General features: G+C 36.4%; 1 protein-coding gene across 5 annotated transcripts in view; it reads left to right on the forward strand.

The window, feature by feature from the left end:
* PRKG1 (protein kinase cGMP-dependent 1) overlaps nt 1-13,521 on the forward strand; it is a 1,307,463-nt gene that overhangs the window by 811,804 nt on the left and 482,138 nt on the right. For all 5 annotated transcript variants that reach the window (NM_001098512.3, XM_017016413.2, NM_006258.4 and 2 more), the window contains exon 4: nt 1,894-1,999. In NM_001098512.3, coding sequence (NP_001091982.1) covers nt 1,894-1,999 — 106 coding nt within the window. The remainder of the gene's footprint in view (nt 1-1,893; nt 2,000-13,521) is intronic.

A 13,521-nucleotide genomic window follows, 5' to 3' on the forward strand; every position in this document is an offset into this window, starting at 1 on the left:
AACATGATACAGACCTGGGAGAGAGATAACAATATTAACACATGCTAAGCACCAAGGAGAGAAACAGATAGAAAAAAGCAGCAATTCATAGGACAGGAAGGGACCAGGGTCAATGCCTGGGCTTGAGGTGCGAACTCAGACTTAAAATGCTGCAGATAGCTTGGCCACAATAAATACGTGTGCATGTGCATGCACTACCCCCAAACCGTGCAGCAACACTACGGAAAGCTCAGCCATTTCAGTCTCTTTTCCTGGTAGACTCCTGAGCTCATTTCCAACTGTGCTCTTGTTTATGTACTTTCCCCACCCAGTTACTCTTTGCCCACCTCTTTTGTAGCTCAGCTCCCACCACTTTTTAAGGTCCCACTTCCTGTTCCAACTCTTAGGAATCCTCTCCTGATTTCCCAAGTTCTTTGTGGCTATATCATCCAGTCTTACTGTTTGTCTCAAGTAAAAGGGTATTGTAGAAAAGAGTCTGGAGGCAGCAGATGTATTAGAATCTGGCTGAAGGATACCTGCACTACCTTTGTTTTTGATGAAGTGTCATTTGTAAAAAAACATTTAGAATGGAGCCAGGCACACACAAGTTCCGGCTGCTTTGTTCTATTTCTACTTCAGTGAGCATGTTTTGTTTTTTCTTTAATATAGAGTTGGCCAAAGGAGGAGTCATATTCTAGTTTTGCAGCTTAAATGTTGCAAGAAAAAAATAGATACAATTCAAAGATGGGTTTACTCTGGAGTACAATATTCATTCCTCTTATCTTCCTTCTCCCCTGTTCGTTTGTGTGTAACTTCTAGCTCCTCCCCACAAGGCACACACATGTCCTAATTCCTCTGATAACTTTTCTTCTCCTCCTTCACTCCCAAATCATGATCCATCACATTCACTGGGCTTAGTCTTGAGAACTGTGAAGCAGAGAAAATTGCGCTCTTCTGTCTTTCTATGTTTGGCTCAATTAACTATATCCTGGCCCTATTCAAAGCTCTTCCTCAGACTACATTCCCCATGACTATGATATTTGAATTGTTTTTTTTTAGTTCATTTGCTAGCTTAAAATATTTTATGTCATGAAAATTTGAAAACATATATAAAAGTAAAGAGAATAAGAAATCTCTCATATGCCATCACACCAATGTAATAACCAAGATTTTTAATGTGCTCATTTTAAAAGTGTTACAAACTATAACATTTGTCTTTTAAACTTCTCTTAGTCATGTGCTTAATAGATCAAATGGTGAAGTTGTGGGGTATTCAGCTTCAACATTTAATTATGCATTGTCAAAGATAGTGGTGCATAAGAGAATAAATTAAAATTCAACAAACATGTCTACTGAAACTACCACGTGGCAACTTTGGGCACAGATTTCAATTTGTAAAACGAGCTTTGTGTGGAAATCATTGTGTAACTATTATTTCTATTATATAAATTCTCCCCTAAGCCTGAAAATTGAAATTTTACTTCTACTTTTTATAATTAAAATATTGTCATATGAGTCATTAACACCATGCTGGGTAATTACTAGGGTTTATTATTACTTGTGAACCTCTTTTTTCTTCACGCTATTTTCTTCATATATAGCCTTGATTTACAAAATACTTTCTATGTGGGCTTAGACAATCAACCCCCAAGGGTCATAGAGCAAGGGCAACAGGAATCTTCCTAGTAGATAATAATGCGAGTATGGAAAATTATGAACTACATTTTGCCTGTAAACATATAGGACTTTTTTAATGAAATAGGATAGCATTGTGATATTAGCTTTAAATGTTTGTAAAAAGTCAATCATTTTCATGATTCTCATGAATAGCTCATCTCCTTTGCAGGATGTTGTTCACAGTTGAAATTCTCTGATTAATTTTTCCCTGTTTGTTTCTCTTTTATTTTTCTCCAGCTCTTGTAAATGTAAAACTCTGGGCCATTGATCGACAATGTTTTCAAACAATAATGATGAGGACAGGACTCATCAAGCATACCGAGTATATGGAATTTTTAAAAAGGTAGGATGCTTTCTTTTCTCTTGTGAGAGTGTTTACTTTCCTTTTAGCCCTATTATCTGAAATGCAGCACCCTGAATTTCAGGGTGCTTTTTGCCTTTCTCTCAGTCATAATAGTCTACAAATGTGTAGAGATGTAAGACTTCGAACATGCTTCTTTATATTTCTGGTGATAAATCTGTAGAGATGTAAGACTTCAAACAAGCTTCTTTATATTTCTGGTGCCAGTTTCCATGACGTATGGTTAAGTCAGAACTTCAGAGTTTCATGACATGTATTAAGCCATTCTCTCATAGAAGTGAGCAACTCAGAGAAACAAATAAAAGTGTGCTTGAACAAAAAAGGATATTGAATACATCTTCAACTATTTATTGGTTAATATATTTATGACACATCTTCTAAACAGACTCACACTGTAAGGCCGAGTCATCTCTTGTGTGAGTTTCCATATGAAAGGTCAGATGACTAAGATGAAAAAGTTCCAAGAAATAGCTTATTATCCTTTAATCCTGAGCTTAATTTCCCAAATAAAATTCATTTTATGCTACAGGTTTGAAATATCAAAAGCTTTTCTTTCGTTTATATTATATATTATCATAATAACTCAATATAGGATGGAAATTAGAATAAAAACCAGCTTTTTATTTCTTAGGAATACATTGATACTCACTGAAATGAATTTCTTTGTCTGCAAGTTTATTTTATTTTAAAGAAAATATATTATCTTATAACTGAAAAGAATATTGACAATTCTCATGACTTTTTAAAAAGCACTTATTTTTAAAATTACTTTTCTTTTGAAAACAGAGCCATTATGAAATAGTAATACACAAGTTATATGAGCATATAATGAGTGTACTGCTAATTAAGGTTTCATTTTTGATCGGTAGAATGTTTAACTTTTTTATTTTGCTTTTTATTTTTGGTGAATAAATTGTTAAAATGAAGCTAAAAAGTCAAATTCACATTTTGCTTTAGTGATACATCTTAATAGGTAACTACTGAATTTTCTTAAGATGCAATTTTTGATATTCCTTACTTGGATATTTCTTGTAGTTAATTTATTTTCTTACTGCTTCATCTTTTATACATTTTTATTTCCATGTAAGACCTTTTATATTCATGCTAAAGGGGTAATACAATTCTAATGTGATATCAAGTAATAATATCAGCATTAATTACTGTCAGCAGGGTGTTGATTTTTTTCCTCAATGTGATTGGATGAAGAAACACTTAGAAGAGGTAGAAATGTAAATTCCTATTTGAAATTTAATATGGTTTTCAAGGGAATTAAATTATTCAGGTGCCTTCTATATTGGGTGAGATATATATATGTATGTGTTGATATATATGTGTCTATACGTATGTTGTGTGTATGTGTGTGTATGATGAAAGATAGAGACAGAGAGAATGAATATTCACTTTAAGCCTTAACTTACAGTTTAAGAGCTATTGATTTCTTCTAGTGCAGCTCTGATAAAGATTACAACTGGTAATCAATGAAATGGTAACCTATGGAATGCAGTCCATTATTCATCTCACATACCTAAGCGTTGGACACTTACGATGTTGATTTTAGCTTCCATAAGTTTGTTTTTCCAAGAAAATGGACTGAGTGCCAATGCTATCTCAAATGACTCTAACAAGAACTCTTTCTGGTAGCACTATTTCAGGAGATGAAGATGTCTCAATCTGTGCATACGCACGTGTGTATGTGTGTGTGTGTTTTCAAATTCAAATCTTAAACAATAAAATTGGCTCTCCAAAGTAAGTGAACATTTTTTGTTGGTCAGAATAGAGCTGGCAGAGTTTAACTGGCTGAATAAAAAAAGAGGTGGTTGCTGACTTGGATGTCACTTTCCATCTGGCTACTCCATAAAACATCAAGTTCACATTGTTTGTGAACATAGGACTGGGCCGGGAGTCCAGAGAGGTGACAGGATGACCATCATTGCCTGAGGCCAGCTTTAATCTTCCTAAATTACAACTGTGACCAACTGGTTCTCTCTCTATAACTTTTTCAGTGGAGCACAGTTCCTGTTGCATTATTTACAGCCTCATTAGTTGGACATTCAAGGCCCTCCTATAGCCAAAAACAGTGAGGTTTTTCAGCCTGGATTCTTCTCTCTTCCTGCAAACCAAACAATTCCATGTACCCATGCCTTCCCTGTGCTTTTTCACAGCACATTCCCTCTCTGCCTGCCCCTCTCCTCCGTCACTGTCAATGTTCAAATTCTTCTCTGCTTTTTGGACCCAACTAAAAGCTGCCTTTCCATGTATACTTACCTCATTACACTGAGAAGTCACGTCTTTCCTCCTCTGGAGCTTCATCTCTGCCATGTGTTTTATTGTCTGCTTTGGTTTATTGTAATTTGACCTTAAGCTTATTTCTACTTCTAGACTATAAGCTGTTTAGAACTAGGGTTATTTCTTAAATATCTTTGTATGCTTCTTTGGCACAAAACTTACTGCTTTGTAGATAGGCACTTTATAGAACAGTGAGTACAGAGCCAGTACATAATTTTCAGCACTCATTGAAGAATGAAAATGCAGGACCTCTTTCAAAAATTGATAAAAAATTAAAGACCTTGACAGCACAGCATTAAATCAAATGTAGGAACCTTGTAAGTGCAGGTCCTATTCTTCGGTACAAGTCACACATCCATGAAGCCATGTAGGGGTGGAAAGGGTACCATCCCTTTCCTCTCCATTGTAAGGGTCATGGATGACACACTTATATAAAAAGACGGGTTAACAAGAGAAAAGCATTACAGATTTATTTAATTAAAGATTAAGATGACACAGGAGCCTTTCTGAATGAAGTCCTGACAATACAGGGGAAAACTGCATTTTTATGCTTAGGTTTAATGAGAATGGGCAGTGATAGAATTGTGCTTGAATGAAAAGAGAGTGCTCTAATGATAGTGGCCTAAGTGAGGAAAACCAGCAAGGCTTGTCTGTTGAGATTCTTCTTGGCCTCTCTGTTGTAGCATTTCTTCCTTCCAGGTATGAGGTAGGACTCCTTTGGAATGAGAATCTTAATTTCTGCATGACAGCTGTCAAACAGAAAAGCAGGGGAAGGTTAAAATAATATTTTTAGGCTTTATGGATGGCTTTCGGGGGGAAAAAGGAGTCTGTCTCTATGACTTGCTTTGGGGAAAAGGAATTCTAGTTTCTATGGCTTGCCTCAGGGGAGAATGAGAAGCCAGAGACAGGAGGCAGGAGAAGGTCAGAAAGAAAGGTGTTCTGAGGCCTTCCCTTCAGGGTGTGTTTTTCTGAGCTCCGAAAGCCAGAAGAGTGAATAATATTAATTCCTTCTTCACATCCCCAGGTTAGCTATACTTGGTACCATTTATTTTTCAAGGCTATTAAGAGATGGCATAATAGCCTCAATGATAGATACTATCAAAAACTCAGAAGACAAAATTAATTGCTTTCCTGTAACTTCAGAATTACTTTTATCTCCCTGTTTGTTGTTGCTTTTTAAAAAATTGCCTGTCTTTCTTTTACATCATATAAAACTTTAAAGTTTTTTTGTATAGTCAAGCACTTTTTTCTTTATGACTTACAAAAAGTGACTTATCACTTTTTTCTTTATGACTTTATCACTTTTTTCTTTATGACTTCGGCTGGGTGTAGTGGCTCAGGCCTGTAATCTCAGCACTTTGAGATGCCAAAGTGGGCGGATTGTTTGAGCTCAGGAGTTTGAAACCAGCTTGGTCAACATGTGCAACCCTGTCTCTGCAAAAAATAGAAAAATAGAAAAATTACCAGGTGCAGTGGCATGTGCCTGTGGTACCAGCTACTCAGGAGGCTGACGGGGGAGGATCACTTGGGCCTGGTAGGTTGAGGCTGCAGTGACCTGAAATCCTGCCACTGCCCTCCAGTCTGGGCAACAGAGAGAGACCCTGTCTCAAAAAACAAAAACAGAAACACCACTGCATATATAGGAAGGCTTACTTAATATTATAAAAATATTGACTTTAAGTGCTTTAAAGCAGTCTGTGAAGAGGGGGATGTTTTTCTCTATGTGTTTGCTAAATAAAACTTGCATCTACATTTTTCTGTTATAGATATCTTATACTTTATACTTTGTAAATGACTTGAAGGGGTAAAGCAATGGCAATGCTATTAAAAAAATGAAAACTCTAGCAAAGGATCATGCAAATTATCAGAGTTCTTTTCGGTAGGGGTCTCTGTTGTACATCCCAATGCCTTCCCAACCGAGGAATTTCAGGAGCTGCCACAGGCTAAAAAATGAGTGGCTCTCTATAATTTCTTATCTTATGGTGCCACTGTTTCTTCTCATTTTTCTGAATAAACACGTAAGTTTGGAGGAGGAGAAAAGTGGACACACCAGGCATATAAATGCACTGCTAACAGGCAAGAGTTTTTCTTTATTGTCAAAGTTGGGTTTTATTTTTATTCCATTGTATTTACCCATTTTGTAACTCCCAGTCATGTGGTTTGGCCCCCTCTTTGCTATTAGATGCCACATCAAACTGTGATTCTGTCTCTTTAATCCTATTTAGTCATTTCTCTTTTGTGCCTGTATTTCAGATTCCCTGATGTAAACACAGATGTTTCTATCCAGATCATAGAAAAAAAAAAAGGTATTCAAAGGGCAGTGCTACTAAGCATGGCATAATTGCTATAAGTCAAACGATGATTTTGCCAGTTGCCAGCATTTTCTGTCATCTTTGGCTACTAAAAAATACTGTTGTTTTTAAGACAGATTCTGAAAAATGAGCCAAATAACTGCCAGAGTTAATTTGTGTTACTTTCTTCTGAGCATATTCTCTGTTACTGCTATTAAAACTGGTATCTATACCCAGAGGAGCATTAGTATGTAGCTGTGTGACCATTGGGGTTTACTTGTAGAAACTAGGTTTTCTTTTGTTCCCAAATTATGAAGCTGATGAGGACAATGATAGTGGTGGACCCTGATTTATATTACTTGTTTCACTGACAAATCAGAGAGATGGCAGGGGCTTTTTGGAATTTAAGCTACACAGTAGATCCTGTTCACCCTCAGAAAATATTTTCTTTATCCACTTGGTAAGACAGATATGCTCACGTCATCCCTCTTGCATTAAACCTTTCCATATCTTCCCATCACTCCTAGGAGAAAGCCTACCTAGTTCTTACCATTGTCTTCCAAGCACTGCCTGCCCCGACACTCTTCCAGACTCATCTCACTCTCCATCTTCTCCTTCTTTATTCTCTCATCCTCCCTTGTCCCAGTCACAGGTACTGTTTCATCTCCTTAGATGCTCCACAGCCCCTCTTAATAAAGATTATCTCAAGAGACTCCCCTCCCTTTGAATGGATGCATTACCAGAGTGATCTAAGATGTGACAACACATCAAGTATGCCTGCCATAGTGGAAAATAGAACCTGATATCTCTCAAAACTCTTATAAATGTCTGATTTCCCTTCCTTGAGTTGAATGGGGGCAATAATAGTATTCACCACTGAGCTTTACATTATATTTTCAATACAAATAATTGTAAAGTTCACAGACTTTGAAGATTTTTGGTGATAATTTGATTCCCACCTGACTTTCCAACTGTTAAAGAACTTGAAGATGTTGTTCAATTTTAAAAGTACTGATCATATGGTTTGGCCCCTTTTAACCAGAAGGGTAAATCTTTGCCAGGAAGCCCTCATTACTGGGAGGTGATTTGTAACCAAAATCCAAAACTGATGTCCCTCTATGGGGGCCTTGTAGCATCTGTATACAAAGGATCAAGATGATGGGTGAGCCCTTGGCAAGTCATAGAGCTGCTTTGATGATCCCTCCTTATTCCATAATTTCCATTCTAAAAATCCTGCCAGATTTTAGTGCTGTGTAAAGCTTCCTTATTCTTTATCTCCATTACTAGGTAGTGAGCCCCAAGTCCACATGTGCTTTTCCCTTATTCTCTAAAACAATAATGCTTGTATATATATCCAACATATTGTTAAATAAATGTGCTACCTATTTATATATATGTATTATGAATGTAAGTGATTTTCCCTTAAAAAAATATGACTTTGTTATTGAAACTTTATACTTTCATTTGATATCAGAATGGCCTTGACTAGGAAGTCAATTTTATGTTGAGATCACCCCTTGACTTCTGCCTATGGGCCATACTTCAACCAAACTTTTCTGAAACTTCTGTTTAATTGCTTTACATTTTTATCATTTTGTGGTTTCTGCCTCACCTGTCACTGGATGGGATCTACATAATGATGCATCATCACCTCTGTGGTCTGATAAATCAACAAGGATTAAATGATTTTAGATTTAGAAAAATCTAAGATGTGATGTCATTTAATTTCTCTGCACATTTTATAGCTGAAGCAACTAAGTCTCAAAGAGATCAAAATAAGCTCATACCCAGTAAAAAACAGAGCTTAGACTAAAACTCAGGTTTCTGAATCTCTAGCCTGAGTATTACACCTTACCTGGACTCCAGTTCATAGTTTGTTTTCTGATGGCAGCTCCCTACTACAGTAAACTAAAGTGAGGGTAGTTTAGTAATATTTTCATTGTTCCTTTCCACAAAGGCAACTTATTTAGATTATTAATTCAATATTATATAAACTTTTGTCTATATTCTAACTATATACCTTTATTTTCAATCTTTTAGAAATAAAATTTCTAAAGCCCTTACAAGCTTTTCCTTCTTTGATCCAATTTAAAAATCTGGTTTCATTTTTTTAATAACTCAATCCAACAGGCACTTTATTTTGATATTTTAATTGTATTTTATCATATTTCTAAAAGTGTAGTCGGGAGAGAATTAGAGTTTGTTGAGTAGAATATAAAGTTGTGAGGAGTGTGAAAGTTTCTTCATTCTACTGATGAGAGAACTGGGCCTAGATCAGTGAGGAGAGCTGCCTCACATCACCCAGAAAATTGCTAATAAAATGATCCCTGTGCCTGGGCAAGTCTGAAATTTTACTATCCCAGAATATCATCTTTGTTTTGTTCAAAATCTTCAAGGTAAAATTCCCCACAATCTTGACTAAACATATGTCCTAGTGTTTTTGCCTTTCCTATAGGATATTCTGTGAAGATCTTGCCTAAGTTGTCATATCCTCTAAGGAAAGAGAAAGTAACTGCACAGAGATGCCCTTGTAATATCCATTTTTAGTGATAGATTTGGAATGGGGCCAGAAAATGTGCATTTTTTAAGTTCTCACCTGATGCTCATGCAGCTAGTCTGGGGATCATTCTTGGAGAACCACTTATCTAGGACATAAGATGAAAGTACAAAATATATTTCAAATATTTTGAGTATTTGTATGACTTATTAATATGAAGAGTGCCTGGGTTTAAATCCTGGTTTCACCATTTATAGGTATATGATAGGTTGGTGCAAGAGTAATTGCAGTTTTGACTGTGAATTTTAAATCATTATAACTAGGCTCAAACACATCTTTATTTATCAAAATAGGAACCATTACAATCAACACATTTTTGCCAATGAGAAATAAGCTTGTTTATTCCTGTAGCATAAAAATCCATGCTTAGGGATTTGACAAACTCTTGGGAAAGCATTTTCTGCATCCTGCTGGTTGTGGAAGTGTTTTTTCTGCAAAAAGTTGTCGAGATGCTTAAAGAAGTGGTAGTCAGTTGACAAGAGGTCAGGTGAATACGACAAACGTGGCAAAACTTCTTAGCCCAATTCATTCAACTTTTGAAACACTGGTTGTGCGATGCGTGGGCAGGCATTGCATGGGGAAGAATCGGGCCCTTTTTGTTGACCAATGCCAGCTGCAGGCATTGCAGTTTTCAGTGCATCTCATCGATTTGCTAAGTGTACTTCTCAGATACAGTGGTTATGCCAGGATTCAGAAAGCTGCAGTGGATCAGACTGGCAGCAGACCACCAACGAGTGACCATGACTTTTTTTGGTGCAAGTTTGCTTTGGAAAGTGCTTTGGAGCTTTTTCTTAGTCCAGCCACTGAGCTGGTCATCACTGATCGCTGGATAAAATCCACTTTTCATTTCATGTCACGAACCAATTCGAGAAATGCTTCGTTGTTGTTGCACAGAATAAGAGAAGACGACACTTCAAAATGATGATTTTTTTTTCTCTCAGTTCATGAGGTACCCATTTATTGATCTTTTTCACCTTTCCAATTTGCTTCAAATGACAAATGACTGTTGAGTTTTTTGGCAAGTTCTTGTGTAGTTGTAAGAGGATCAGCTTAGATGATTGCTGTCAACTGGTCGTTGTCAACTTCCGATGGCCAGCCACTGTGTTCTCCATCTTCAAGGTTCTCCTCTCCTTTGCAAAACTTCTTGAAACACCACTGCACTGTACATTCATTAGCAGTTCCTGGGCCAAATGTGTTGTTGATGTTTCAAGTTGTCTCTGCTGCTTTAGGACCCACTTCAAACTCAAATAAGAAAAATCTTTTGAATTTGCTTTTTGTCTAACATCATTTCCATAGTCTAAAATAAGCATAAAATAAACAGCAAGTAATAAGCCATTAGCACAAAAGCATAAAGTAATAAGCCATTAGCAAAAAAGCATAAAGTAATAAGTCATTGGCAAAAAAGCATAAAATGATGTATGACATAACCACATTTATTTAAGAATGCATTCCAATATCAAATGGCAAATTTCAACAATGCCAAAACTTCAGTTACATTTGCACCAACCTAATATAATCGTAGGCAAGATTCTTTACATTTAGGTGCAATAAAAAATGTAGTAAACCCTCCCACTATCAAGGACCATAATTAGAAATAAACAAAATAATATGTTAGTAAAAATTTATTGAGTGTGTGCCAAGCAGTGTTCAAAATGCTGCAGATGTATTAACTTATTCTCAACAAAAATTCGTAAAGTACTATTATAACATCATTTCCATTTTACAGGTAAGAATACTAAGGCCAAACAGATAAAGAAAACTACACAGGTATTCAGGGTAGAGCCAGTGTCTATAGAACTGATACTCTTAAACTCCACCCTATACTGCCTCAATAAATTCTGGATACCCAAATATTAGTCCCTGCACATTGCTGTCCTGCTCATTAAATTGGCATTTACTTAGCCTGGAGATTTCAGCCTTAGGTTGATTTTGTTCTTGGAGTACCTGGGTTTCCTATTCACCATATTTTTCTCTCTCAGTGCCCTCCTCCCAAACCTCAGTAGTATTTTCCCTTCCTCTCACCCCTCTAGAATATGTTCTCAAAAAAATGCTCAGTAATAGCTTAAGAGCTATCACTTTAAACAAGTGACAATGTCTTAGAATTACATAGGCTCAGTGAAGGGGCTTTCAGTTGTTTGGAAACCCACCACCTGTACATAAGCAGACACCATGATTTCTAAAACAAATATTAAATGACTTACAACTCAGGATCAGTGTCTTCTGCAGACATTCAGACACTGCATTTCTGGTTCTTTTTTAACCTCCTGCCTTTGAGTTCCTCAAGCACAGGTTGTAGTCTGTAAGTGGGACCTGTTCTTGCTTAGGCTATGCTCTGTGATCTTTTAAGGAATTGAACTGTTTGGACACATACAAAGTATCTTTTGTACACTTTAACCTGAACAAATGAAGATGCCACTTTTTGGGCACAAATTCTATAAAATACAACAATATTGTCTAATCAGTTTGTAGAGATCACAATTCTGGGAAATTAAAATAATGATTTCCCTTTCCCCATATTTTTCTTCTATCATTTACAAAAAGAGATGGGAAAGAGAAGGTGCATATTAAAACAATTTGGGGGCTGTTAGAACTTAATTTTTTTTTGTTTGTTTCTTAAGACTCAATGACAGACCTATTGAGCTCTTAAGCTTTGAGCTTTAATAGAGCTTTTCTAGAAGTTTGTGAAACCTGCATTAGAATTAAGCTTGACAAAGCTGGTATAGTTTTAATTTGAAGGGAAATATTGGGAAGAATAAATAAAGAGGCACTTTCTCACCCCATTTTCAAGTTGGTTTGCTCACAGACCATTTTGTGGTAGCAGATTCATTCTCATTAAAGATGACACAAGGAGCAGGTAAATCTAAAAGTGGCCATTAATTTTATGTTGTCATCTAGCATTTGCACAAATGTCTCCATATTGATCCATTTTTTATTAAAAAAAGAAAGACAATGTAATCTCAGATATTTGCATAATTATAGGCTAATTTTTAAAAAATTATTCATCTGCACATTTCATATTGTTACTTTCACCTCCATACATGTAAGTTTTTTCTACTTCTTGCAACTAATTAATAAGATAGTTGATTATATTTGTGGTAAAATCTTCCACTTGAGTCAGTAATGAATCTCACACAGATAAGTCCTATTTAGTCCAAGAAAAGACTAAGTCCTCAGCTAAGGGACTTAATAAATTGATTCATTGTGCTGGCCTCTCCCTGAGCCTGGGTTACCAGGGATCAGTCTCTTTAAGGACTGTAGGCAACTTTTCCTCACTATCTCCATAAGAATACTTTCTCAAAACTCTGGGGTTCCAAAAATCTAAAACAGTGTGACAAAGCAGTTTAATATTCCTCTAGCCTGTTGTAGCTTTGAACCTTATAAATCTTTCCTGTAGTAAGGCTTATTTTATTTCTGTATCATCCAGATTGAGCCTAATAACAGTTCCATGCTTGTAAAATGTTTTGTACACAGAGGATTAGTGCATCTGGGAGTGAGTTCTTTTCCATAAGGAAAACCATTCTGTAACAAACAAATTCAGAGAGAATCCATGAGTTACTGGGAAAAATTAAGAAGGGTGGTCTTCTGGGATCCCAGCAACATAGATTTCTCTGCTTGATATAGAAACCCACTTCCTCATGGTTGGAGAGAAATCTGATAGAGAATCGGAAGTGGGAATGAAAAAATCCTGCTGAGGTGCAAAATAAATACTAGGGCAATTTAGACAAAGAAAGCGTCTTAGTGTGTACATTTCATCTGTCCTGAGAAGAGGCCAATACATCAGTTTGTCAGTTTAAAAAAAGCATGAGAAAGTCAGAATTAGCATCATAGGTCCTTTTTTGTTTGTTTGTTTTTGGTTTTGGCTTGGAATAAAGTTAATCATAATTTATTTATCAATATGATTTTACCAAGGCGAACTCTTAACGGACAGCTTAGAATCTGGCTGTTGGGCAGCATGGGTGTCTATGAATCTGAGAATCCTGATTTTCTGACTCTTTCTAGGGTGCAGGGAAAGCAGCCCCTGGAAAGGGAAGCCCTTAGAGGCAGCATGAGCACAGTGCTTCACAGCACAACTAGGGGCTTTGTTGTGAACACTCCCTTTACCAAACCCAGTGTGAGTGTTTTCAAGGCAGTGAGGGAGAGCAAGGGAAATCCAAAACTCAAAACAGAATAAGCTGGCACCTGCCTCCTTACACACATTATTATCTCACTTAATTTTGACAGCTCCTTTAAGAAAGTTAATCATAATTTATTTACCAATATGATTTTACTAAGGCATTTCCATTTTACTGAGGCAGTAACCAGAATCGTGAAAATTAGCGGTTTCCCAGCATCAGTAATGAATCTCACACAGATAAGCCCTGTTTAGTCCA

Source organism: Homo sapiens, chromosome 10, assembly GCF_000001405.40.
Source record: "Homo sapiens chromosome 10, GRCh38.p14 Primary Assembly".
Taxonomy (NCBI): domain Eukaryota; kingdom Metazoa; phylum Chordata; class Mammalia; order Primates; family Hominidae; genus Homo; species Homo sapiens.